The sequence below is a fragment of the Homo sapiens genome, chromosome 12, assembly GCF_000001405.40.
Source record: "Homo sapiens chromosome 12, GRCh38.p14 Primary Assembly".
Classification (NCBI taxonomy): domain Eukaryota; kingdom Metazoa; phylum Chordata; class Mammalia; order Primates; family Hominidae; genus Homo; species Homo sapiens.
The window spans coordinates 4317230-4342022 of NC_000012.12; the positions used below are offsets into that span (position 1 = coordinate 4317230).

Here is a 24793-nt window from a genome sequence, read left to right on the forward strand (position 1 = left end):
AATAACATTGGTGGATGCCTTGCAACTTTCTAAATTTCTCCTAAAACAATAATCCTCTCCAATATGTCAGCTTTTTTAAATATGTATGCTTCATTAGACAAACTGATCATAACAGGTATTCTTCATTCATTTGACAGATTTTAATGGAATCTCCACTGTGTTCCAAACATTTTCTTAGGAACCAAGGAAGTAATGAAATAGAGCCAGTAGTTACCCTCATGATTTATAGTTTTGAAACCTGGAGTATACTTATCTGGTCTCAAACTCAGTTCTGAGATCTTGAGAGATGGGAAATTAGTTTTTGTTTGTTTGTTTGTTTTTGGAGATGAAGTCTCACTCTGTCGCCCAGGCTGGAGTGCAGTGGCATGATCTTGGCTCTGCAACCTCTGCCTCCCGGGTTCAAGCAATTCCCCTGCCTCAGCCTCCCGAATAGCTGGGATTACAGGCACCTACCACCACGCCCGGCTACTTTTTGTGTTTTAGTGGAGGAGGGGTTTCACCATGTTGGCCAGGCTGGTCTCCAACTCCTGAGCTCAAGTGATCCGCCCGCCTCGGCCTCCCAAAGTGCTGGGATTACAGGCGTGAGCCACTGTGCCTGGCCCAAGAAATGGGAAATTAGTTAACCTGTATGTGCCTTAATTCTTCATCTGTGAAATGGAAATAACTCCTACCTTGCAGAGTTACTGTGTGTATTAAATAAGACAAAATGGGAAGCTGTTTTTATTTAGGCGTTAGAAATGCACTTGGACCACCTTAAAGTGAAAGAGGTTTTACTATACAAACCGGAACTTTCAAGGTATCTGGGACTATGGCAGTTTGAGCGACCAGTGACTGGGTACTCCTTGCATTACTCACTTGTGTCTGTGTCTCTCTGTGTGTCTCTTTGCTTCTTCCATTGACTTTGCTTCTTCGTACCCTCTCCTCTGTTCTCTCACTTGTATTATTTATGGCTTCTGTTTCTTCACAGCTTCAATCACCATGCCCCTTCATAGCCCTAACTCTATCCTATGATTTCTTTCTGTGCTTTCTTTCTGCTTCACCCCTCACAGATAACTACTTAATTTCATTTTTTCAGCTCAAACTTCCAGGAGAATCTGCTGGGATGATTCATTCATTTGGGCATTCAGAACACGGACACGGACACACACACACACACACACACACACACACACACACACACACACACACACACACGATATCTGGGCCCCACTGTTAGGGCCCTCTGAATTATCCCTCCACTCTCATCCTGAAAATGCCTCCTGTTGACCTGCAAGCTGTTAGAGATGCTGAATTTGGTCCCCACTCCAATCTACTAACTCCAGAATCTACATTTTAACACTATGCCCAACTGCTTTGTGTGCACGTTCGAGTTTGTGAAGCATTGCTTTAAACTGCTAGCTCTCAGAACAGCCACTTGTATGTTGGAAACAGCTGGGGATTAAAAGCATACAGATACTGCTGCCTGAGTCTTTCCCCCAGAAGTTCAGATTTGATTTTTCTGGGGTGTAGCCTGGCAAAGGTCTCCAGACGATTCTAATGTAAAGATAGGTTTGAGGACCTCTAAACTAGTTCTGTGTCACCGCTGACCAGTTGTGTGAGCCTAGACAAATCGCTGTCTCTCTCTCGGCCATATTTCTTTTTTTTTTTTTTTGAGATGGGGTCTTGCTCTGTCACCCAGGCTGGAGTGCAGTGTTGGAATCTCGGCTCACTGCAACCTCTGCCTCCCGGGTTCAAACGATTCTCCTGCCTCAGCCTCCCTAGTAGCTGCGACTACAGGCACGTGCCACCATGCCCGGCTAATTTTTTGTATTTTTAGTAGAGATGGGGTTTCACCGTGTTAGCCAAAATGGTCTCTATCTCCTGACCTGCAGATTCTCCTGACCTGCCTTGGCCTCCCAAAGTGCTGGGATTACAGGCGTGAGCCACCATGCCCGGCCATATTTCTCATCTCTAAAGTGAAGATAATGTAGCCTATCCTGTCTACCTTAGAATTGTTCAGAAGGCCAAATGTGATATTACATGTAAGACTGTTTTGAAATGTGTGCCTATGAATCTAAGTATCTCATTCATCTCTTCTCTAAACACATCTTTTCATATATAAGTGGGGATTCAAGGAAATAAATGCATTATGAAATACAAGAATTTAGGTAACAGTGCATGGAAGACAATGTCACCTAGCTAACATTATTGTTACTTGTGTCACATTGCTAGGTACTGCTATCCCAGTTTACCTGTCACAAAACCCAGGGTTAGAGAAGCTCATGTTATAAATAAACTTTCAGTGCCACAAAAGAAATAGCACTCGAATATAAAATTTTCTTTTTAATTCTCAGCAAGGCAAGGTACTTCTATAGAAGGGTGCGTCCTTACAGATGGAGCAATGGTGAGCGCACACTTGGACAAGGGAGGGGAAGGGGTTCTTATCCCTGACGCACGTGGCCCCTGCTGCTGTGTAGTGCCCCACCGCACAGGCTAAACTAATTCCGATTGGCTAATCTAAAGAGAGTGATGGGGGTGAGTGGTTTGGCGGGAAAAACAGTTATGACAGAGCAGGTAATCTGAGTCAGGGTGGCGTAGGTAATGGGAAGGAGTCAGGGTGGAGTAGGTAATGGGAAGGAGTCAGGGTGGAGTAGGTAATGGGAAGGAGTCAGAGTGCAGCAGGTAATCGAAAAAGGTTGTGGCCGGGCGCGGTGGCTCACGCCTGTAATCCCACCACTTTGGGAGGTCGAGGCGGGCGGATCACGAGGTCAGGAGATCGAGACCATCCTGGCTAACACGGTGAAACCCTGTCTCTACTAAAAATACAAAAAATTAGCCGGGCGTGGTGGCAGGCGCCTGTAGTCCCAGCTACTCGGGAGGCTGAGCCAGAATGGCGTGAACCCGGGAGGCGGAGCTTGCAGTGAGCCGAGATCACACCACTGCACTCCAGCCTGGGTGACAGAGCCAGACTCCATCTCAAAAAAATAAATAAATAAATAAAAAAGAGAAGGTTGCTTTAGGAGGAAGTTAAGTTTAAAAGTAAAAAGCAAAGAATTGAACATACTGACATATTGATTCTTTGAAAAGAAATTTAGAACTCATATCTAACATGAAGCAACTCCCTCAACGTTCTGAAGGCTATTAAAGAGAAATTATTCATCTGAGGCTTGTTAAAAACGGCAAGACTTTACTCAAGACTACTGCAATAGGTGAGAGAGACTGAATTCGACTCTAGAATACAACCGGGACCAGTGGAGATTTATAGCCAGGGGGCGGGATGGAAGGGATGAAAGAGAAGATGGGAAATTACCAGAACGTGGTAAGCTATCTGGGGGAGGGGGAGGAGGAACTTTACTAGATATCAAGGGCCTTAGAAGAGAGCATCAACAGTGAGGTCTCTCTTGATAAACAGGCTTAGCAGGATTCTTTGGTAAAACCAGGCTCAGCAGGCCGAGGATGCCGTCTAGTATAGAAAAGGCCTCAAAGGAGCCCGACTAAAGTTTGGTCACGGAGGGCGTCTGTCCCGGCGGAGTTGGGGTGGGTGGGTCTAAGTCTACAGACCTGGCCGACGCTACGTCCCTAAGGTTAGGGACTAACAGACCTCATAGAACACAGTCTGTTGGTCGCTGTACACCCGTGAGGGGTTCATCACAGTGGCCAGCTATAAGACGAACGGTTGCATTCCAGCCTCAATCGCAACAACCACAAATCAGTGCGCCGGCTTCCTTATCTGCCCCGAACGCAGGCTGCCGGCTATCGAGGGAAGGAATCCTACCGCGGACTCCGCGGGCGGGGCCTCCCGCACCTGCCGCGCGCCAATCACAGGCCGGCGCGCAGGGGCGCAAGCGCCGCAGCCCTGGGCGGGGCCCCCGTGGCTCCCTCGTCTCCCCCGCCCCGTCGGCCTCGCCCGGCCCTGAGTGGCCTTCGGGGATGACGTGCGAGGCCGCCTCGGCCTATGGCGGCGGAGCCGGCCGGCTGCTTGGCGGAAGTGGTGTGGGGGAGGTAGCCCGCAGTGCAGGGGCAGCGCGGCGCGGGGCCACCGACGGGACGCGGCTCCGGGAACATGGCTCGCTTCGCTCTGACTGTTGTCCGGCAGTGAGTATGGCTGTGGCAGGATGTCTTTCTCTCTCTCTTCCTTGAGTGTGTTGGAGCGGGTGAAGGGAAAACGGGTCCACCACCCTCTCCCCTCCCTGCTCGCTCCAGCCCGGGAGGGCTGGCTTGGAAGCGCTTTTTCCGGGGCGCTTGCCCTGGGGCCGTCCCGTGTCGCCCCTCCTCTCACCCCAGCAGCCCCGAGGGACGACGGCAGGTCTTAGATAGCTTCGTTCCGTGTTTCAGATAAAGTGAGGCCCGGAGGAGCAAGGGATCGGGGTTCGTAGGCACTTGGTGGCTGCACCAAAAACGGTGCCAGACATGTCCACAGACTTGTCTGGGTACCGATTTTGCTCCCCAGCAGATTGCAAAGAGTTTGCAGAATTGCTCGTCCATGGCTGATGTTTTTGATGCCGGCTGCCTTCCGCTATCCTCTCAGTTTCTGAGGTTCCCCCTCGTTTCCCCAGGCAGTCAGCCCCCCAGGCACATATATGAGACTTCTTTCTTTTCCCCAGAGGTTACAGTTCTGGGAGAGAAAAGAGGATCACAGCTCTGATCTCAGCAGACCGTATCATCCCAAATAAATGTTTTTATTATCATAACGTTACACGGAGCTGCATGCTGATAGGTCTTTATGTATTTGCCAAGTGTTAACGGGAGGTGAAAATCAGGGTAGTTAAGAGCACAGATTTTTATTTTTATTTTTTTTTTTTTGTGAGATGGAGCCTCGCTCTGTCACCCAGGCTGGAGTGCAGTGGCGCTATCTCTGCTCACTGCAACCTCCCGCCTCCGGGGTTCAAGCGATTCTCCTGCTTCAGCCTCCCGAGTAGCTGGGATTACAGGCATGCGCCACCACGCCCGGCTAATTTTTGTATTTTTAGTAGAGACAGGGTTTCGCCATGTTGGTCAGGCAGGTCTGGAACTCCTGACCTTAAGTGATCCGACTACCTCGGCCTCGCAAAGTGTTGGGATTACAGGCATGAGCCACCGCGCCCTGCTAAGAGCACAGATTTTTCAGGCAAGGTAGACCTCGGTTGGAGTCTGTTCTCCAGCTAAGAGCCAGGTAGCCTGGACTTAAGTTTCCTGATATGCAAATGATAGTGCGTATCTCACTACTTTAATGCGAGAATTAAATGGGGGACAGGTAAAGTGTATGATGCAACAGGGAAAGAAATATATCTGAGAAATAACTTCTATAAAGAAAGCTCCAATAAAAGTGCAGTTGATTCCCAAATACGAACGTATAGTTCAGCACACCAGCATTTTGAGTAGGTAATGTGTGCCAGTAGACTGGATCATACAGATAAATAACATACCATTTCTGCATTCATGGAGCTCACAAAGGACATTAATATGATTTAACTTTGTCAATTGACTTTAACAGCTATCTTTTCTGGCCTGTCCTTCCTTTATAAGAAAGATAATCTTAAGAATCCTCTAAAATTGTCTGTTTAGGATTAGCAGGATTTTAATGGCTACCTTAGAAATCTAGTTCCTCACTATCTCTTCTCCCACCCCTCTCGGTTGTATAGAATGCCTTGGGAGAATTCTTAACTTACTAAAGGTCACACAGCTAATCGGTAGCAGAACAGGAACTAGAGGCCTGATCACCCTTTCTTCCAATGTTAGTGCACTTTCTAGACGCCTGACCCAGCCAGCCCAGTGTCATATTTATAATTGAAACTCAGACCATCAAGGTGGTTCACCCCTGTAATCCTAGCACGTTGGGGGGCGGAAGTGGGTGGATCCCTTGAGCACAGGAGTTCAAGACCAGCCTGGGCAACATGGTGAAACCTCCTCTCTACAAAAAAAAAAAAAAAAAGCTGGCTGTGGTGGTGCATGCCTGTGAACCTAGCTAATAGGGAGGCTGAGGCAGGAAGATCACTTGGATCATGTGAGCCTGGGAAGTGAGGGCTGTAGTGAGCTGTGATTGGGCCACTGCACCCCAGCCTAAGCGACACAGTGGGACCCTGTCTCAAAAAGAAAAAAAAGAAAACTCAGAAGTTGTAGAATATTTGGGGTAAGGCAACCCCTAAAAAGTAAGATGATTCCTATTTAGATTCCTAATAGACAATAGTCATATAAATATGGATTTTATTCCCTTTCTGCTGCTTAAAAAGGGTTTGATTCCGGAGGCCCTCATAGGAATCATTTAAAAAATAAGTCTTAATAAATGATTATTTGCCAGGCACTGTTGTAATTAAAATCTGACAGTTTAGTGAGTTAAGGACTGATATCCTCATTTTTCACATGAGGCAGCTGAGACAGAGACGCCTTGTAACTTGCTTAAAGTCACATGGCAAGTTGAGGAAGTAGGAGTTTAACCAAAGCAACTTTACCACTCACCGTCTTTTGTTTCCTACTTAATTTGTTAAAACCCGGTATTTGTAGATTACTTGAACATCACCAGCCATTTTTGAGGCTACTTTTTAGTCTCTTAATATAATTGTGTGGAGTTATGACAATAGTTTATTTTGTTCTGTTTTATGTGTAGGAAGATGGAGTGAGAGGGCTGGTTCAATGCTTTCCGGTCTGGATCCTCCTGCTTCTTGCCTTCAGAGTTCTCAAAACCAAAACCTGGTGATTCTTTCAGGAAAAGAAGTGATTTTTAAATTTGACTCATTATCACCATAGTTAAATGTAATGACTTTTTGAAGAGTTAGATAATTTTATTGGACTTACCTCTTCAGATAATGCAAAAAAATCTTTAAAGCAATTTAAGTTCAACAGAACCTGTTAGGAATCTTGTGCTGTTCCTGTATGTGGTTTATCTTTCTTCATACTTTGAAATGAAAGTACCAGTGTGTATCATTTCTGGAACAGACTGCCCAAGATTCCAGAATTCAAGTCTATCATCATTGTCAGACTATAACTTCTCATGAGCTTATGGCACAGCATTGTTGAAAACTCCAACACGTGTAGGTTGGCATTACCATCACCTATCCAGCACTACTGAAGGGTCTGGTTCCTTGGAATGTTGTAGGTGTTTGCAGTGAGTCCCCGGCAAAACCATCCATTTAACTTCCTTTTTTTTTTTTTTTTTGGAAATATGTGTGCCTTTATTAGCTGAGCCACTACTTGAGGGGGATGAAGCGGGAGGAGTGGGTGGCCCCGATGCCGGGCCGGCAGTGCTTCACCAGCTTATAGGTGATGGAGAACTCGCCCAGGTAGTGACTGATCATCTCCGGCTTGATCTCCACCTGGTTGAAGGTCTTGCCGTTGTAGACGCCCACCATGCTGCCCACCATCTTGGGCAGGATGATCATGTCCCGCAGGTGCGTCTTCACCACTTCCGGCTTCTCCATGGGCGGTGCCTCCTTCTTGGCCTTGCGCAGGCGCTTCAGCAGCGAGTTCTGTTTCCGCCGCAGGCCCGGGTTCACTTGCGGCCGCTGGCACGCACTGTACAGCTGCGTCAGCTGCTCGCAGGACACGTCCCGTCCCGCAGCTGGTCCAAGTCTGTGCCGCGGTAGGTGAGTTTGCGGAAGGTCCGCTTCTTCTGCTCTACCTCGGCCATCTTGTCGGATCCTCAGAAAAGTTCACTTCCATTTTTAGGCAGCTCGTAAAGCTTTAAAATTTTTTGGCAAACTAAATTTAATATACTTTTAATGATTTAAAAATGAATTAGTAAAGTTTTTTTGTTTTTGCTTTTTTTTTTTTTTGACGAAACGGAGTTTCACTCTTGTCACCCAGGTTGGAGTGCAATGGCATGATCTCCGCTCGCCACAACCTCCGCCTCCCGGGTTCAAGCGATTCTCCTGCTTCAGCCTCCGGAGTAGCTGGGATTACAGGCATGTGCCACCATGCCTGGCTACTTTTGTACTTTTAGTAGAGATGGGGTTTCTCCATTTTGGTCAGGCTGGTCTCGAACTCCCGACCTCTGGTGATCCGCCTGCCTCGGCCTCCCAAAGTGTTGGGATTACAGGCGTGAGCCACCCCACCTGGCCGAATTAGTAAAGTTACTGATAGCAAAACTGATTTTTCTTACTGTACTTTTATTGGCAGTTACTTTTTGTGTAATGCTAATAATTGTTCTGTATATTAATAAAGCAAGCAAAATACTATTAGCTCATCTGTAATTTAGTATTTTTATAAAGCTAATACTTTTATAAAATTTTAATGCTCTATAAAAGTATAAAGATACCTTGTACAGATACTTTATAAAGATCAAAGACAGCCGAAAGTCCTGCAATCCCAGCACTTTGGGAGGCCGAGGCGGGTGGATCACCTGAGGCCGGGAGTTCAAGACCAGCCTGGTCAACATGGTGAAACCCCGTCTCTACTAAAAATACAAAAAATTAGCTGGGCGTAGTGGCACTCGCCTGTAATCCCAGCTACTCGGGAGGCTGAGGCAGGAGAATCTCTTGAACCCGGGAGGTAGAGGTTGCAGTGAGCCCAGATTGCGCCGTTGCACTCCAGCCTGGGCAACAAGAGTAAAACTCGTCTCAAAAAAAAAAAAAAAAAAGAAAGACCACCAAAAGTCTTGTGTTACTAGCTCTTGAAATCTTCTATATTTGCAAATGAATGTATTAGTGTAAAGGAATTAGGACTAAGCTGTATTCGTGATATCAGGTGAGGGTTTACATTTTCATTTACACTAAAGAACAGCTTTCCCATGATTTGTTCCTCCTTTGTAGCACGCTGAGTATTGTGTGTTGAATTTGAATTCCTTAAATGGAATTAAGGGAAATTGAGGTTTCTGTATGATTTTTGAAGAAATGCTGCAGCGTATAAATCCAGGCTAACAAGATATAATGTCTTTTAAGAACTGTGAGATAACCTACAAAATGAATGATGTATATTTGTAGGGCCTATAAATGGCTGATCCTAAGACTTAACATCTTGGCAGAAGCACTCGGATTCCTGCAGAGTCAGGTTTCTGTTTTGGAAATGGACCACACTGCAGATTTTGAAAATGAGTGGTGTTATTCCTGACTCCTTCAAAATATATCCCTCTGACCTTTCAGCTCCGTTCACCTTCTCTGCTGCTATCACAAGTCAGACTTGGTTAAGGGAAATAGATTAATAGTAAAACTGTTTTAGCCATCAAGTTTCCTTTCCCATTCCCCAAACGTACTAATTAAACAGTTACTTCAAGGATTTATATAAACCTCTTAATAAAGCTGATAAAAGCTGTACAACTAAATATTTATGAAAGCTTTTGGAAAAAAATCTATTTTTGGATTCCTACTCTTTAATATTTATAAAGTGATTTGAACGCAAAAATGCCAAATAGAACTAAACTGAATGCTGTGATTGTTAATAATACTATTGAGTCTACAGCAGCCTCTGTTGATATATGGCTAAATGAGTCCTTCATTATATCACAGTGGTTATGCTGCTTTCACTGAAAATCGTTAGATGGTGGGGCAGTACTTTTATGAAACTATCAAATTTCTGGGATTCCATTTTTTATAAAATGACATTTTGACAGTGTAAACCTTTATTTTAATTTGAATCTTTCATTATCTACTTTGATTAAATAAAAATGCTGAGTTACTCTTCAGCAAGTATACAAAAAGTAATCATCTCTGCCAAATTTCTGTGATTTGTAAATTCTGAGTTTTTTTGGTGGCTCTTGCATGATTTCTTGGTTGGCAAATTATTAAATTTCTTCTCACCCCTCATTTCAAAATGAGGGTGCTTCTTTGGCTTTGGCTGGAAATTGTGTTAGCAACCTATAAAAAGAAAAACTTTAGACAAATTAGACTTAGTTTATTTGAGCAAAGAAATGAATCATAAATCAGGCAGCACCTGAACCAGTAAAGCTTCAGAGTGCTCACCCAGTGACATAGGCAGGCAGTATTTATAGACAGAGAAAGGAAGTGACATGGCCAGGCGCAGTAGCTCGCACCTATAATCCCAGCACTTTGGGAGGCCGAGGCAGGAGGATCACCTTAGGTCAGGAGTTAGAGACCAGCCTGGCCAACATGGTGAAACCATGTCTCTACTAAACATACAAAAATTAGCTGAGCGTGGTGGCGCTTGCCTGTAATCCCAGCTATTTGAGAGGCTGAAGCAGGAGAATCGCTTGAATCCTGGAGTTGGAGATTGCAGTGAGCCGAGATCACACCACTGCACTCCAGCCTGGGCTGCAGAGTGAGACCCCATCTCAGAAAAAAAAAAAAAAAAAGAAAGAAAGGATGTGACATATAGAGATAGCCTGATTGGATACAGCTCTGCTTTGCCTTATTAGGACATGTCTGAGCAGTTTGCAGCCCATAATTGGCTGAAAGCTCAGCTGCCATGCATGGTTGGCTGAGACTTGGTTTTTATTACAGGAATATACTCTCAAATTATGTTGTAGTTTGTGTGCATATTAAGTTAGGTGACAGCTCCCTAGGCATGGAGGCAGTTTTAGGCCAGGTTTAAATTAAGGGCTACAAGCCACTGTCTAGCGAGGATGTTACTTGTTTTGTTTTGTTTTTGAGGGCGCAATCTCGGCTCACTGCAGCCTCCGCCTCCTGGGTTCAAGCGATTCTTCTGCCTCAGCCTCCCGAGTCGCTGGGACTACAGGCACACACCACCACGCCCAGCTAATTTTTGTATTTTTGGTAGAGACGGGGTTTCACCATATTGGCCAGGCTGGTCTCAAACTCCTGACCTCATGATCCGCCTGCTTCGGCCTCCCAAAGTGCTGGGATTACAGGCATGAGCCACCGCGCCCAGCCGAGGATGTTACTTATATTGAAATAACAGATATTTTATTCTTGGTCTCAGCAAGATTTTGAGGCTGAGACAGGAAGTGAATCCAATACATGGTAACTATTTTCTAGATTAAAAATGACAGGTTCCCCATGTTTGCCCTGAATGCTTCTGCTTTATCCATCTGAATGGTAGAGGCTAATATCCTCTTTCATGCCCATTTTATAAGATTCTGAATGAATTTTGGAGTGTAGGAAATCTTTTTTTTTGAGATGAGGTCTTGCTTTTGTCGCCCAGGCTGGAGTGCAATGGCATGATCTTGGCTCACTGCAACCTCCACCTCCTGGGTTCAAGTCATTCTCCTGCCTCAGCCTCCCGAATAGCTGGGATTACAGGTGCCTGCCACCACGCCTGGCTAATTTTTGTATTTTTAGTAGACACAGGATTCTACCATGTTGGCCAGGATGGTCTCGGACTCCTGACCTCAGGTGATCTGCCCTCCTTGGCCTCCCAAAGTGCTGGGATTACAGGCATGAGCCACTGCATGTGGCCTAGGTAATCTTTTATTAATATTAACAACAATGATAATGGCAAATCAGTGCTGTTGGTTTTTTACCAAGGTATAAATAGTTCCATGTATTTTTTTTTTTTTTTGGAGACAGAGTCTTGCTCTGTTGCCCAGGCTGAAGTGCAGTGGCATGATCTTGGCTCACTGCAACCTCCACCTCCCAGGTTCAAGCGATTCTTCTGCCTCAGCCTCCCGAGTAGCTGGGACTACAGGCACTCACCACCATGCCTGGCTGATTTTTGTATTTTTATCAGAGACGGAGTTTCACCTTGTTGGCCAGGCTGGTCCCGAACTCCTGACCTCGTGATCTGCCCACCTCGGCCTCCCAAAGTGCTGGGATTACAGGCGTGAGCCACCGTGCCTGGCCAGTTCTGTGTAATTTTATTTCTTTATCATACGTTTATTTTTTAAGCTAATACATCTACATATTTAGAAATCAAAACAATTCTCCGTAGTCTTCCTATTCTTCCCCCAACCAATAGGTGGCCACATTTATTAGTTTCATGTTTATCCTTCCATTGTTTCTTTGTGCAGATCCAGATGTTTATTTCCCTCCTTTCTAAAAGGGTAGCTTTCTTTTTATATTACTCTATACCCTGCTTTTTCTACTTAATCATATATCTTGGTGAGCATTCCATATCTTTACATATAATCTCTCTCTTTAAAGGACACATTTACATAGGATTCCATTAGGTAGATATGTCACTGTTTATTTGTTAATATAAATAATGGTTATTCTGGCCATAGTTAAGGAATGAGTTATGGACATTTGGGTTGTTTATAATCTGTTGCTATTAGAAATAATACTGTAGCTAATGATCTTTTTTTTTTTTTTTTTTTTTTTTTTGTGAGACAGGGTCTTGCTCTCTCACCCATACTGGAGTGCAGTGGTGTGATTGCAGCTCACTGCAACCTCTGCCTCCCGGGTTTAAACAATTCTTGTGCCTCAGTCTCCCGAGTAGCTGGGATTACAGACGCCCGCCACCACGCATGGCTAAATTTTGTATTTTTAGTAGAGATGGGGTTTCATCATCTTGGCCATGCTGGGCTTGAACTCCTGACATCGTGATCTACCCACCTCGGACTCCCAATGTGCTGGAATTACGGGCATGAGCCACCACGTCTGGCCACAAATAATCTTTTAAATATGAGTGAATTCAGTTATTCCCAGTAATTGGGTTATTGGATAAAAGGGTAAACAGATTTGTCATTTTGATAGGTATTTCCAGATGACCCTCCCTAGGTAAAAGCACATTCACTGAAGTTCTGTCATTTCCCAGCATTTTCTCCAGGCCCTGGGCATGTTGAGGGTATGCAATCCCTGCTTGTGCCTTTAAGGAACTGGAGCCAGGATAGACACAGAGCTAAAAAGTCAATTAGCACACAGATGAAAACTTATGTTGGTAGTGCCAGGGGACCATGGGAGTATAGAGTGTGGGTATTAAATAGAGTAGGTAGATGGGGAATGGTACTGGGGAGGGAGACTACCTAAAAGAACCAGTCTTGTGTTGGGTCTTAAAGAACATTCATATTGGCCAAATCCAGCAATCTGTATCTTGGCAGAGGTTGGCATACAGCTGTTTTTGTAAACAAGCGGCAAGATTCCAGGATGAGGCCTGAGTTTGTGATTCTGACTTCCAGGTCTGGTAGATTTTTTTTTCTAGATCTGAGTAAATCAGTCCTATGTGACATTTTAATTATTATAAACTAGTGCTTCACTTAAAAACAATGGAGCGATCATTTTCCATCGAAATCAAGGAAATGCAAATTAAAATTAAAGTGAGATGAATTGTTCAGGTACCAGATTGGTACAAATTGAAGAAACCTTCCATCACTGAATCTTGTTGAGGGTGGTACACCACACTACAGGGTGGTGTAACCTGCTATGACACTGGCATTACCTAATAAAGCTGGTATTTGCATACCTTATGGCCCAGCAATTCTAGTGGTAGGTTGGGTCAGCAAACATTTAATTAGTGCTCAAAGAAATTTCAGCTGAATTCTCTTTGATTCTACTTTTCATGTATTTGAAAGTTGCATTATTGTTAACCTATCCTGCTGTCTGTCCAGTCTTGCCCATGCACTTCCCGCCCTTTTCCCCCTCCAGCCTCAGTAACCCCAGTTATTTTCTGACAAAGTTTCCAGTTCTTTTACCCTTCCGGTTGGTTCAGATTGCTTTGATTTGTTTTGGTATTTTAGTTTTTAAAAGTGTAGTACTCAAACCTCAGTTCAGTGTGCAGTTAGTTGGTCTGCGAGATAGCTGTCAGTACTACAAAAAATAACTGCTGAAGACCTAGGAACTAAGAGAAGGCAGGGGGTTCTGAAGGTTTGTGCACGTCTCTCCCATTCCATTCAGATTCTCTTTCACTTGCTCATTCAGTCCAGCAATGAATAGACTGACTCTCACGTTTTTGTTCCTGCTGCCAGTAAGAGTAGTTTTGATCAATATATTTCTTTTAACAAAATTATTTGGCTGAAATGTTATTTGCATTATATTTTTTAGTAGGATTTTCCACCTGCAATTCACTTAAGATTGGTTCCTGATCTACACGTTTTAGTTTGGAGTAGTTTGAAATTCTTAGCTCTTCATTAAAGAAGACAATTGCAAATATTAGTTTAGAATAAATTGTTTTTACAGGTTGGATTATGAAGTGTGTTACAAGTTTCACATGATATTTTTAGAGTATCACCACACTTGATTGCTCATTTTTTTCCTCCTCTCAAAAACAGTATAATTTGGCTAATAAGGTTGTCCTTCTCTTTCTATTTTAGTGGAGAAACAAGATTTAACAAGGAGAAAATAATCCAAGGTTGGTATAATCCGATTGTTATTTTAGCTCTCACCCTTGTGTTAATAAGATGTGTGAGTTAAGCAGATTTGGTGGGGTGGGGTAGACTGGGGGCAGCACTCCATTGTGAATTGGGATTACAGAATCAAAGCATCATAACCACAGAAATATGATCAGGGCTGTTAGTAACCAGGAGGAATAAATCTCTCAAGTGAACTGGGTGTGAAGTACAGGTCTCCAAGTTATTCTTTATGTATGGCTTCAAAGTGGCTCTGTCAGCTGATTAATTATATTGGGTCTGGGTGTCTTAAAATATAAATGTCTGGATTTGAAATTATTTTATATTTGGAAACATGAAGTTTACTGACTGGTGTTAATGGTATTTTTTTCTGCTAAGATGGTTATTTTAATTTTAGTAGTAATAAAGGTTTAAAAAAAGAACTATTTTCACATGTGGTCGTTACTTTATTCTGAAGAGATTCTTTCTCCCTTTTTCTGTTAATTTGGACTCAGATCTTTTATTTGCCCTGTGATCCAGCTAGTCTGGCTTTTTAAGAATATCTTGAACTTTTGGCTAGACATGCTATTTCTGTGCTGTGATTATAAAAGCATTTAGTTTTATTTTTTTGGTTAGGGACTTCCGGGGTTTACAAAAACTGATTTTCATATTCCGTGTGCCTGACTCCCTTTTATGGACAATAACTGGTCTGATTCTCAAAGGAACCTTTGTTTTCAGACGAAATATGCCCCACCCAGGTTATCCTCTGGACTGAAGCCTCTTACCACCTGGCCTTTGGTATTGCTCATTTCTCTTTTTCCTAAGACATTGACAATGGAACGTCAAGAAAGTTTTTGTGTTCTTTTCCTGACCTTGTCAGTTGGATGCTTTAGTTCTTTAAGTTACAGCCTTTTGTGTATAAGCATTCAAGGCTCATGTATTTCTTTTTTTTTTTTTTTTTTTTTTGAGTCAGGGTCTCACTGTGCCGCCCAACCTGGAGTGCAGTGGTGCGAACTCGGCTCACTGCAACCTCCGCCTCCCAGGTTCAAGCGATTTCTCATGTCTCAGCCTCCTGAGTAGCTGGGATTACAGGCACGTGCCCCCATGCCCAGCTAATTTTTGTATTTTTGGTAGAGGTGGTGTTTTGCCATGTTGGCCAGGCTGGTCTTGAACTCCTGACCTCAGTTGATATGCCTGCCTTAGCATCCCAAAGTGCTGGAATTACAGGCCTGAGCCGCCGCACGCGGCCTCAAGGCTTATATATTCCTAAGTACTGTTTTTGTTTGCATGCCCGTAGTTTTGACACGTGGTAATGTGGTAAGCATTCAGCACCAAGTATTTTCAATTCCCATTGAGTGACTTCCATTATAAATGCTTTTGTGTTCTGTCAGTATGGTTTATTTGATGATACTTCTTTGAAATGTGTTAATTATGGTCAGTTTTTATAATTCTTCCATTGTATGCTTCAGAAAAATGTATAATCCGTCATTGTTGGGACTGGAATTATATATAAAATAATCAGCCTTCTTGATTTTGTTTTTCAAATCTTACACACTTTATTAGCTTTATAAATGCACTAGTTTGCCTGCATGTCCTAAATATCAATTTATGAGTGCAGTATTTTTAATTTCCTGCTGCAGTGGCCAGTTTGCCCTTTAATACTTGGAATTCTATCCATTTTTGGTTTCTATGTTCTGCTTTTGTATCGACTGAGGTTACTTTATTAGGCTTATACAAGTTTAAATGATTACATCTTCTGAGTAAATTGGATCACTGATTTTCTTATAGTGGTCCCCAAATCCTTAGTGAGACTTTTGTCATAAAGTCTTATTTTTCTGACAGTAATATAGCTACTTGAGCTGTTTTGGGGATGGAATTTCACTGGTATGTATTTTTCCATCTCATTCCTTTCACTCTTTGTGTATACTCATGTTTAAGTGTTATCTCATAAATAGTATGTAGCTAAATTTTGGCTCTTTTGAAAATATATATAAGTTGTCTTTTTTTTTTTTTGAGACAGAGTCTTGCTCTGTCACCCAGGGTGGAGTGCAATGGCGCGATCTCAGCTCACTGCAACCTCTGCCTCCCGGGTTCAAGCAATTCTCCTGCCCGAGACTCCCGAGTAGCTGGGATTACAGGTTCCCGGCACCACACCTGGCTCATTTTTTAAATTTTTATTTATTTATTTATTTTGAGACGGAGTCTCACTCTGTTGCCCAGGCTGGAGTGCAATGGCGTGATCTCGGCTCCTGCAACCTCCACCTCCCGGGTTCAAGCGATTCTCCTGTCTCAGCCTCCTGAGTAGCTGGGATTACAGGTGCACACTACCAGGCTCGGCTAGTTTTTGTATTTTTAGTAGAGACGGGGTTTTACCACATTGGTCAGGCTGGTCTCGAACTAACCTGGTGATCCACCCACCTCGGCCTCCCAAAGTGCTGGGATTGCAGGCGTTAGCCACCGCGCCTGGCCTAATTTTTGTATTTTTAGTAGAGACGGGGTTTCACCATGTTGGCCAGGCAGGTCTCAAACTCCTGACCTCAGGTGACCCATCTGCCTTGGCCTCCCAAAGTGTTGGGATTACAGGCGTGAGCCACCACGCTTGGCCTAGAATCTGTCTTTTAACTGGCAGTAGTGACTGTTTGCCTTTATTCTGGTCACTGATGTGTTTCGATTTTTTTTCTTTGTTTTTTTTTTCCCCTTCTTTTTATAGTCTTTCTTTTTTTAATCTTACCTGCTTTTACTTCTTAAGTTCTTGGTTTTTTTCCTGTTCCACACTTTCTTACTTTCCCCACTACCTTTCAAATGATGTACCATTTCCATTCTTTTCAAGGTTATCTTAAAATTCTTACCCTCATACCTGTCTTAGCCAAGGCTGCTGTAACAGAGTATCATGGACCCAGTGGCTTAAACAATACACAGTTCTAGAGACTGTGAATTCCAAGATCAGGGTGCCAGCAGATCCAGTGTCTGTGGAGGACCTGATTCCTGGTTTGCGGACTGCTGTCTTCTGGTTAATATCCTCACATGGCAGAGAGATAGATTGAGAACACTTATAAGGACACTAATCCTGTTCATGAGGGCTCCACCCTAGGATCTAATCACCTCCCAAAGGCCTGCCTCCTAATACGATCACATTGAGGGTTAGGATGTCAACATTTGAATTTTGGGGGGACACATTTACTCTGACAATACCTAATAAAGTATAATATTAATATCCCCTCTTCCAAAAAATACAAAGAACTTGTCTAGTCGCTTAGTCCTGTCTTTTTTTAATTGCTTGAGGTAGACATTATTATCTTCATTTGTTTAGATGGCATTTAAATTTATGAATATATTTGCAAGTTTCTCTGCTCCTCATTTGTTTTCGTCTCAGACCATTCCTGAAGTACGTTCTTTGAAAAGTCCTCTAGTGTGTGTAGAGCAGCTGGTGGTAAACATAGTGGCTTCAGTCGGTACACACTTGTAACTGATGATTCTCTCAGCACTTGGAAGATAGCATTCTGCAGTTTTGGTTCCATTTTTCCTGTTAAGAGATTTCTATCAGCTAAATGGTGTTCCATGGTAGGAAATATGTCTTTCTCTGTAACTTCCTTTAAACTCTTCAATTTTGATATTCTTTAGTTTCTCATAATATATCTAGGAGGAATTTTTTTTTTAATGTATCCTGCTTGATGTACATGTGTTTTCTTATTCTGTGAAATTCTTAGCTATTTTCTTTTCATATTCCTCTCCTTCATTTTTTCTGTTCTTTTATTTTTTTGAGACGGAGTTTCACTCTTGTTGCCCAGGCTGGAGTGCAGTGGTGTGATCTTGACTCACTGCAACCTCCGCCTCCTGGGCTCAAGTGATTCTCCTGCCTCAGCCTTCCAAGTAGCTGGGATTACAGGCGTGCTCCACCATGCCCAGCTAATTTTGTATTTTTAGTAGAGACAGGATTTCGCCATGTTGGCCAGTCTGACTTTGAACTCCTGACCTCGAGTGATCCACCCCCTTCAGCCTCCCAAAGTGCTGGGATTGCAGGCGTGAGCCACCATGCCCGGCCATTTTTTTTTTTTTATTCCTTTAGAGTTCCAATTAGATGCATGTTATAGACTGAATGTTTTTCTTCCCAAAAGTTACATGTTGAAATCATAACTCCCAATATGATGACATTAGGAGGTGGGGTCTTTGGGTGGTTATTAGGTCACAAGGGTGCAGCCCTCATGAATGGAATTTATTCAAGAGACACCAGAGAGCTCTTTCCTCTTTGTGCCATGGGAGCACTGAAGGAGAAGTCAGTAGCGTGTAATGTGGAGAGGCCCTCACCAGAACCCAACCATGATGGTACCCTCATCTCAAACTTCCAGCCTCCAGAACTGTGAGAAATAAATATCTGTTGTTAACAAGTCACCCAGTCTGTAGTACTTTGTTACAGCAACTAAGACAAGGCATCGTTAGGAGTTCTCATTCTTTCCTTTAGAACTCTAATATATCTGAGCTATGCTCTATCTCCTTGTATCTGTGCCGTGTACTGGGTAATATCTTCTGCTCTGTCTTTGAGTTCATTAAACCTCCTTTCATCTGAATCTCTGTTTATCCATTGAGGGGCCCTCCAGCCCCCAGCAATCCTGATTTTTATTATTAAAAGATCTATTTGGTTATTTTAGAAAATTGTCTACTTATTTTTGATGCTTACTGTTACTTGCTTATTTTTGTGACTCTGTCTTTATGTTTTATTCATAGTTATTGTAAATTCCCTATTTGCTGATTTCAATGTCTGAAGTCTTGATGGGTGGCTTTGGTTTATGGTAGATTATTTTCTTGTGTGTTGAATCTTTGGCTAAACAATTATTTGTTCTAAATTAGTGGAAAACCTGTTAGCCTCTTTTGAGAATGCTTTGCTCTGAAAAGGATTTGCATTTTATTTTACCACAGGCCTGAGGCTGCATTAAGTCTCCTTACAGGAGCCCTCGCTCCCAAGAATGTTGTGTTTAGTCCTCCCGCTTGCCGTCCCCTCCAGCAGGCCTCCTCTCCCAGCCCCACCAGCGTGTCCTCATAGTCCACCACCTTCATTTTTTTCATGTCGGTATTCACAGTTCAGCTCAGGGCTTTGGGGTTGCTTTACTTTGTCCCTTGGAGATTTTTTGTATGTTCTGTGGGCCCAGCAATGCAGCACACACACACACACACACACACACACACACACACACACACACACACACTCACACACATACACCATTTAGATCTTTAGTAGGAGGTCCCTTCAGAGTGTCCAGCCAACCGTTATCCTGGAAATAGAGGTTTCAAAGCATTTTTAAAATGAAAAAGACAAAGAAATGGAGGGAGGAAGGAAAGAGGAAAAGTAATACCATTATAATACTGAGCATTTGGATGATGGGAATAAAGAAGGAAAAAACTTTTAGATGATGGTCCTACCGCCCCAACACAGTACCTGTAAGATCAGAGCCAATTAATGAAGAGAGGGGCAAACATAAAAGAGGGAAAAGCTAAGACATTTCTATCTCATCATCACCTAATTCCCATTAGGCAAGCATTCTTTTGGAAAATAATTGAATACCTGAGCCTTTAAAGACTTAAAACTTATTTTTACTTGCTAATAACTCCCTGAAAAGTTACGTGGAAGAGTACTTAAAAAATCTTTCATTAAAATTTAGATAAATGCAGCTTATATTTTCTACATGTGATTTATACATCTCTGATATGTAGTTTTGAATGTTATTGTTCCTCTTCTTAATATATCACAGGACAAGGAGTAGATGAACCTCTTTCAGAAACTGGATTTAAACAAGCAGCAGCTGCTGGTATATTTCTGAATAATGTGAAGTTTACTCATGCTTTCTCCAGTGATCTCATGAGGACAAAGCAGGTACATTTATTTATTTATTTATTTTGAGACAGAGCGTCACTCTATGCCCAGGCTGGAGTGCAGTGGTGCAGTCTCTGTTCACTGCAACCTCCATCTCCCGGGTTCAAGTGATTCTGATGCCTCAGCCTCCCAATAGCTGGGATTACAGGTGTGTGCCACCACACCTAGCTAATTTTTGTATTTTTAGTAGAGATGGGGTTTTGCCATGTTGCTGGTCTCAAACCCCTAACCTCAGGTGATCCACTTGCCTCAGCCTCCCAAAGTGCTGGGATTACAGGCGTGAGCCACCACGCCCAGCAACAGGTGAGTTTAGAGTCAAGGTCTAGGCTGATGTGCCAAAAGTCTCAACAATTGTATAATCTTGAAAAATCTGCTACCAGAGTCTGTAGGGAATTAAATCCCAAACAGACATGACCTTCCTCAACAGAACTTATTTATTTTAATTTTATTTTGTACTTTTTAAAAAAAATAATTTTTAAATTAGAGTAGCCTAGAAAAAAAAGTCCAGCAAGAATATAAATAAGCTATTATGAGAGAGAGCAGGGAAAATGACAGGAGAAATTAATCCACTGTGACATCAGGTATTAGGATTACCAGATAGAGTAAGAAACCACTATGTCACTGTAAAGAAATAAAAGACTTGTTAGAAATATCTTCAGGGAACAGATTACTATAAAAATGAAAAACCAGTTGGGCATGGTGGCTCATGCCTGTGATCCCTGCACTTTGGGAGGCCGAGGCAGGTGGATCACTTGAGGTCAGGAGTTCAAGACCAGCCTGGCCAACATGGTGAAACCCTATCTCCACTACAAATACAAAAATTAGCCAGGTGTGGTGGCGTGCACCTTAATCCCAGCTACTTGGGAGGCTGAGGCAGGAGAATCGCTTGAACACAGGAGGCAGAGGTTGCAGTGAGCCAAGATCGTGCCGTTGCATGGTTGGGCTACAGAGCAAGACTCTTGTCTCGAAAATAAAAAAAAAGTAAAATTAAAAACGAACCCAGTCTACTTCTAAAAACTCCATGGAAGGAGAGTTTTGTGACCAACTGTGAGTGAGGTATTGTTGGAATTTCATCTCCCCTATAAACAATTAGAAAATGTGGCAAAATATGTGAAACCACTGTTTTCAGATATTAGACTTTGGGCACTGTGGGCCTATGATGCCTGAATGAAGTAGAACAAAGAAGGTGAGCCCTAGGGAGTGTCCTGGTTTTCTGGCTGAAGCAATTTCCAGACTCTGGTAGGGGAAGCCAAGTAGTGCTTAGAGGTCTCCGTGAGTTAAGGAGACAAAACTTGGAATTTGGGGAGGTTAATTTTTACATAACTTAAATTTGTGGGGCAGAGTAATGGAAGAAAGACGTGGATAGACAAAGAACTCTAGAAATATGTACAAGAATTTCTTTAAATTGAAACATTTCTTGAAACAAATGATAATGGAAACACAATATACCAAAACCTGTGGGATACAGCAAAAATATTAGGGAAATTTTAGCTGTAAGTACCTACATCAAAAAAAGAAGAAAAACTCCAAATAAACATCTAACAATGCATCTTAAAGAACAAGAAAAGCCACTTTGGGAGGCCGAGATGGGAGGATTGCCTGAGCTCAGGAGTTCAAGACCAGCCTGGGCAATACGGTGAAACACCGTCTCCACTGAAATAACAAATCTGCCTGGCGTGGTGGCAGGCACCTGTAATCCCAGCTACTTAGCAGGCTGAGGCATGAGAATTGCTTGAACCTGGGAGGCAGAGGTTGCAGTGAGCTGAGATTGTGCCACTGCACTCCAGCCTGGGCAACAAAGCAAAACTTTGTCTCACAAAAAAAAAAAAAAAAAAAAAGACAGAAAGAACTAGAAAAGCAAGAGTAAACCAAATCCAAAATTATTAGAAGAAAAATAATAATGATCAGAGCACAAATAATTGAAATTGAAATGAAGACTCCAAAAGATCAGTGAAATGATAAATTGGTATTTTGAAAAGATAAAATTGACAGACCTTTAGGTAGATTTAACTAAGAAGATAAAGATCCAAATAGGTAATATCAGATGAAAAAGGAGATATTACAACCAATATCTCAGAAATTCAAAGGAGCATTAAGGGCTACTATCAGCAACTATATGCCAAAAAATTGGAAAATCTAGAGGAAATGCACAAATTCCTAGACACGTGCAACCTACCAAGATTGAACCAGGAAGAAATCCAAAGCCTAAACAGAATAATAACAAGTACCAAGATTGAAGCCATTATAAAAGTCTCCCAGTAAAGAAGAGTCTGGGACCTGATGGCTTCACTGCTGAATTCTACCAAACATCTAAAGTACTAATACCAATCCTACTGAAACTATTCCATAAAATAGAGGAGGAGGGAATACTTCCAAACTTATTCTGTGAGGCCAGTAGTATCCTGATACCAAAACCAGACAGACACATTAAAAGAAGAAAACTACAGGCCAGTATTCCTGATGAAGATTGACACAAAAATCCTTAACAAAATACTAGCAAACCAAATTCAACAATACCATTAGAAAGATCATTCTACCTGACTGAGGGGGATTAATCCCAGGGATGCAAGGATGTTTCAACATAAACAAGTGAATCAATGTGATACATTATATCAACAGAATAAAGGACAGAAACCATATGATCATTTCAATTGAGGCTGAAAAAGCATTTGATAAAATCTAACATCCCTTCATGATGAAAACCCAAAAACAACCTAGGTACGGAAGGAACAATATAAAACAGTACAGTAAAAGCCTCAACACAATAAAAGCCGTATGCAATAGACCCACAGCTTATGTCATACTGAGTGAGGAGAAACTGAAAGCCTTTCCTCTAAGATCTAGAACAAGACAAGGATGCCCATTTTCACCACTGTTATTCAACGTAGTACTGGAAGTCTTAGCTGGAGCAATCAGACAAGAGAAAGGAATAACATTTAAATCGGAAAGGAAGAAATCAAATTATCCTTGTTTGCAGATGATAGGATCTTATATTTGGAAAAACCTGAAAACCCCACCAAAAAACAATTAGAACTGATACATTTGGTAAAGTTGCAGGATGCAAAGCAAGATACAAAAATCAGTAGCATTTGAATATGCCAACAATGAATAATCTGAAAAAGAAGAAGTAATCTCATTTACAGTAGCCACAAATAAAATTAAATACTCAGGAATTAACCAAAGAAGTGAAAGAGCTCCACAAGGAAAACTATAAGACACTGATGAAAGAAGTTAAAGAGGACAACAAAGAAATGGAAAGATATTCTATATTCATAGATTAGAAGAGTCAATATTGTTAAAATGTTCATACTACCCAAAGCAATCTACAGATTCAATGCAATTTCTATCAAAATACCAATGACATTCTTCACAGAAGTAGAAAAAAGCATCCTAAAATTTATGTGGAACTGCAAAAGACCCAGAATGGCCAAAGCCATCCTTAGCAAAAACAAAATTGGAAGAATCACAGTACCTGACTTCAAATTATACAAAGAGCTATAGAAACCAAAATAGCATGGTACTGACATAAAAACAGACACATAGACCAATAGACCAGAATAGAGAACCCAGAAACAAATCCATGCATCTGCAGCAAATTCATTTTTGACAAAGATGCCAAGAAGATACATTGGGAGAGTCTCTTCAATAAATAGTGCTTGGAAAACTGGATATCCATATACAGAAGAATGAAACTAGACCCCTGTCTTTCTCCATATACAAATATCAAATAAAATGGATTGAAGACTTAAATCTAAGACCTCAAACTATGAAACTACTACAAGAAAACATTGGGGAAACTCTCCAGAACATTGTTCTGGCCAGAGATTTCTTGAGCAATAACCTGCAAGCACAGGCAACCAAAGCAAAAATGGACAAATGGGATCACATCAAGTTTAAAAGCTTTGGTGCAGCAAAGGAAACAATCAACAAAGTGAAGAGACAACCCACAGAATGGGAGAAAATATTTGTAAACTACCCATCTGACAAGGGATTAATAACCAGAGTATATAAGGAGCTCAAACAACTTTATAGGAAAAAATCTAATAATCCAACTAAAAATGGGCAAAATGTCTGAATAGATGTTTCTCAAAAGAAGACATACAAATGACAAAGAGAGGGGGGGCGGTTCCAAGATGGCCGATTAGGAACAGCTCCAGTCTGCAGCTCCCAGCGTGAGCGACGCAGAAGACGGGTGATTTCTGCATTTCCAACTGAGCTTTGAAGAGAGTAGTCGTTCTCCCAGCATGGAGTTTGAGATCTGAGAACGGACAGACTGCCTCCTCACATGGGTCCCTGACCCCCGAGTAGCTTAACTGGGAGGCACCCCCCAGTAGGAGCAGACTGACACCTCACACGGCCGGGTACCCCTCTGAGACAAAACTTCCAGAGGAGCGATCAGGCAGCAACATTTGCTGTTCAGCAATATTTGCTGTTCTGCAGCCTCCACTGCTGATACCCAGGCAAACAGGGTCTGGAGTGGACCTCCAGCAAACTCCAACAGACCTGCAGCTGAGGATCCTGACTGTTAGAAGGAAAACTAACAAACAGAAAGGACATCCATACCAAAACCCCATCTGTACGTCACCATCATCAAAGACCAAAGGTAGATAAAACCACAAAGATGGGGAAAAAACAGAGCAGAAAAACTGAAAATTCTAAAAATCAGAGCGCCTCTCCTCCAAAGGAACGCAGCTCCTCACCAGCAACGGAACAAAGCTGGACGGAGAATGACTTTGACGAGCTGAGAGAAGAAAGCTTCAGATGATCAGACTTCTCTGAGCTAAAGGAGGAAGTTCGAACCCATTGCAAAGAAGTTAAAAACCTTGAAAAAAGATCAGACGAATGGCTAACTAGAATAACCA

General features: G+C 42.4%; 1 protein-coding gene and 1 pseudogene across 1 annotated transcript in view, besides 2 other annotated features; one reads left to right on the forward strand and one right to left on the reverse strand.

The window, feature by feature from the left end:
- Positions 3576-4229: an enhancer, noted in NCBI's record as "H3K27ac hESC enhancer chr12:4429971-4430624 (GRCh37/hg19 assembly coordinates)". NCBI's record gives its function as "activates a minimal SCP1, AML or CMV promoter by ChIP-STARR-seq in naive H9 embryonic stem cells {active_cell/tissue: H9 hESC(naive)}" and the evidence as "EXISTENCE:reporter gene assay evidence [ECO:0000049][PMID:30033119]".
- Positions 3695-4074: a silencer, noted in NCBI's record as "silent region_4153". NCBI's record gives its function as "represses an Ori minimal core promoter by ATAC-STARR-seq in GM12878 lymphoblastoid cells {active_cell/tissue: GM12878}" and the evidence as "EXISTENCE:reporter gene assay evidence [ECO:0000049][PMID:35858748]".
- TIGAR (TP53 induced glycolysis regulatory phosphatase) overlaps positions 3984-24793 on the forward strand; it is a 38816-nt gene continuing 18006 nt past the window's right edge. The window contains exons 1-3 of the mRNA NM_020375.3: positions 3984-4074; positions 14051-14088; positions 19810-19931. Coding sequence (NP_065108.1) covers positions 4043-4074; positions 14051-14088; positions 19810-19931 — 192 coding nt within the window. The 5' untranslated portion in view covers positions 3984-4042. The remainder of the gene's footprint in view (positions 4075-14050; positions 14089-19809; positions 19932-24793) is intronic.
- RPS15P7 (ribosomal protein S15 pseudogene 7) lies at positions 7111-7610 on the reverse strand (annotated as a pseudogene).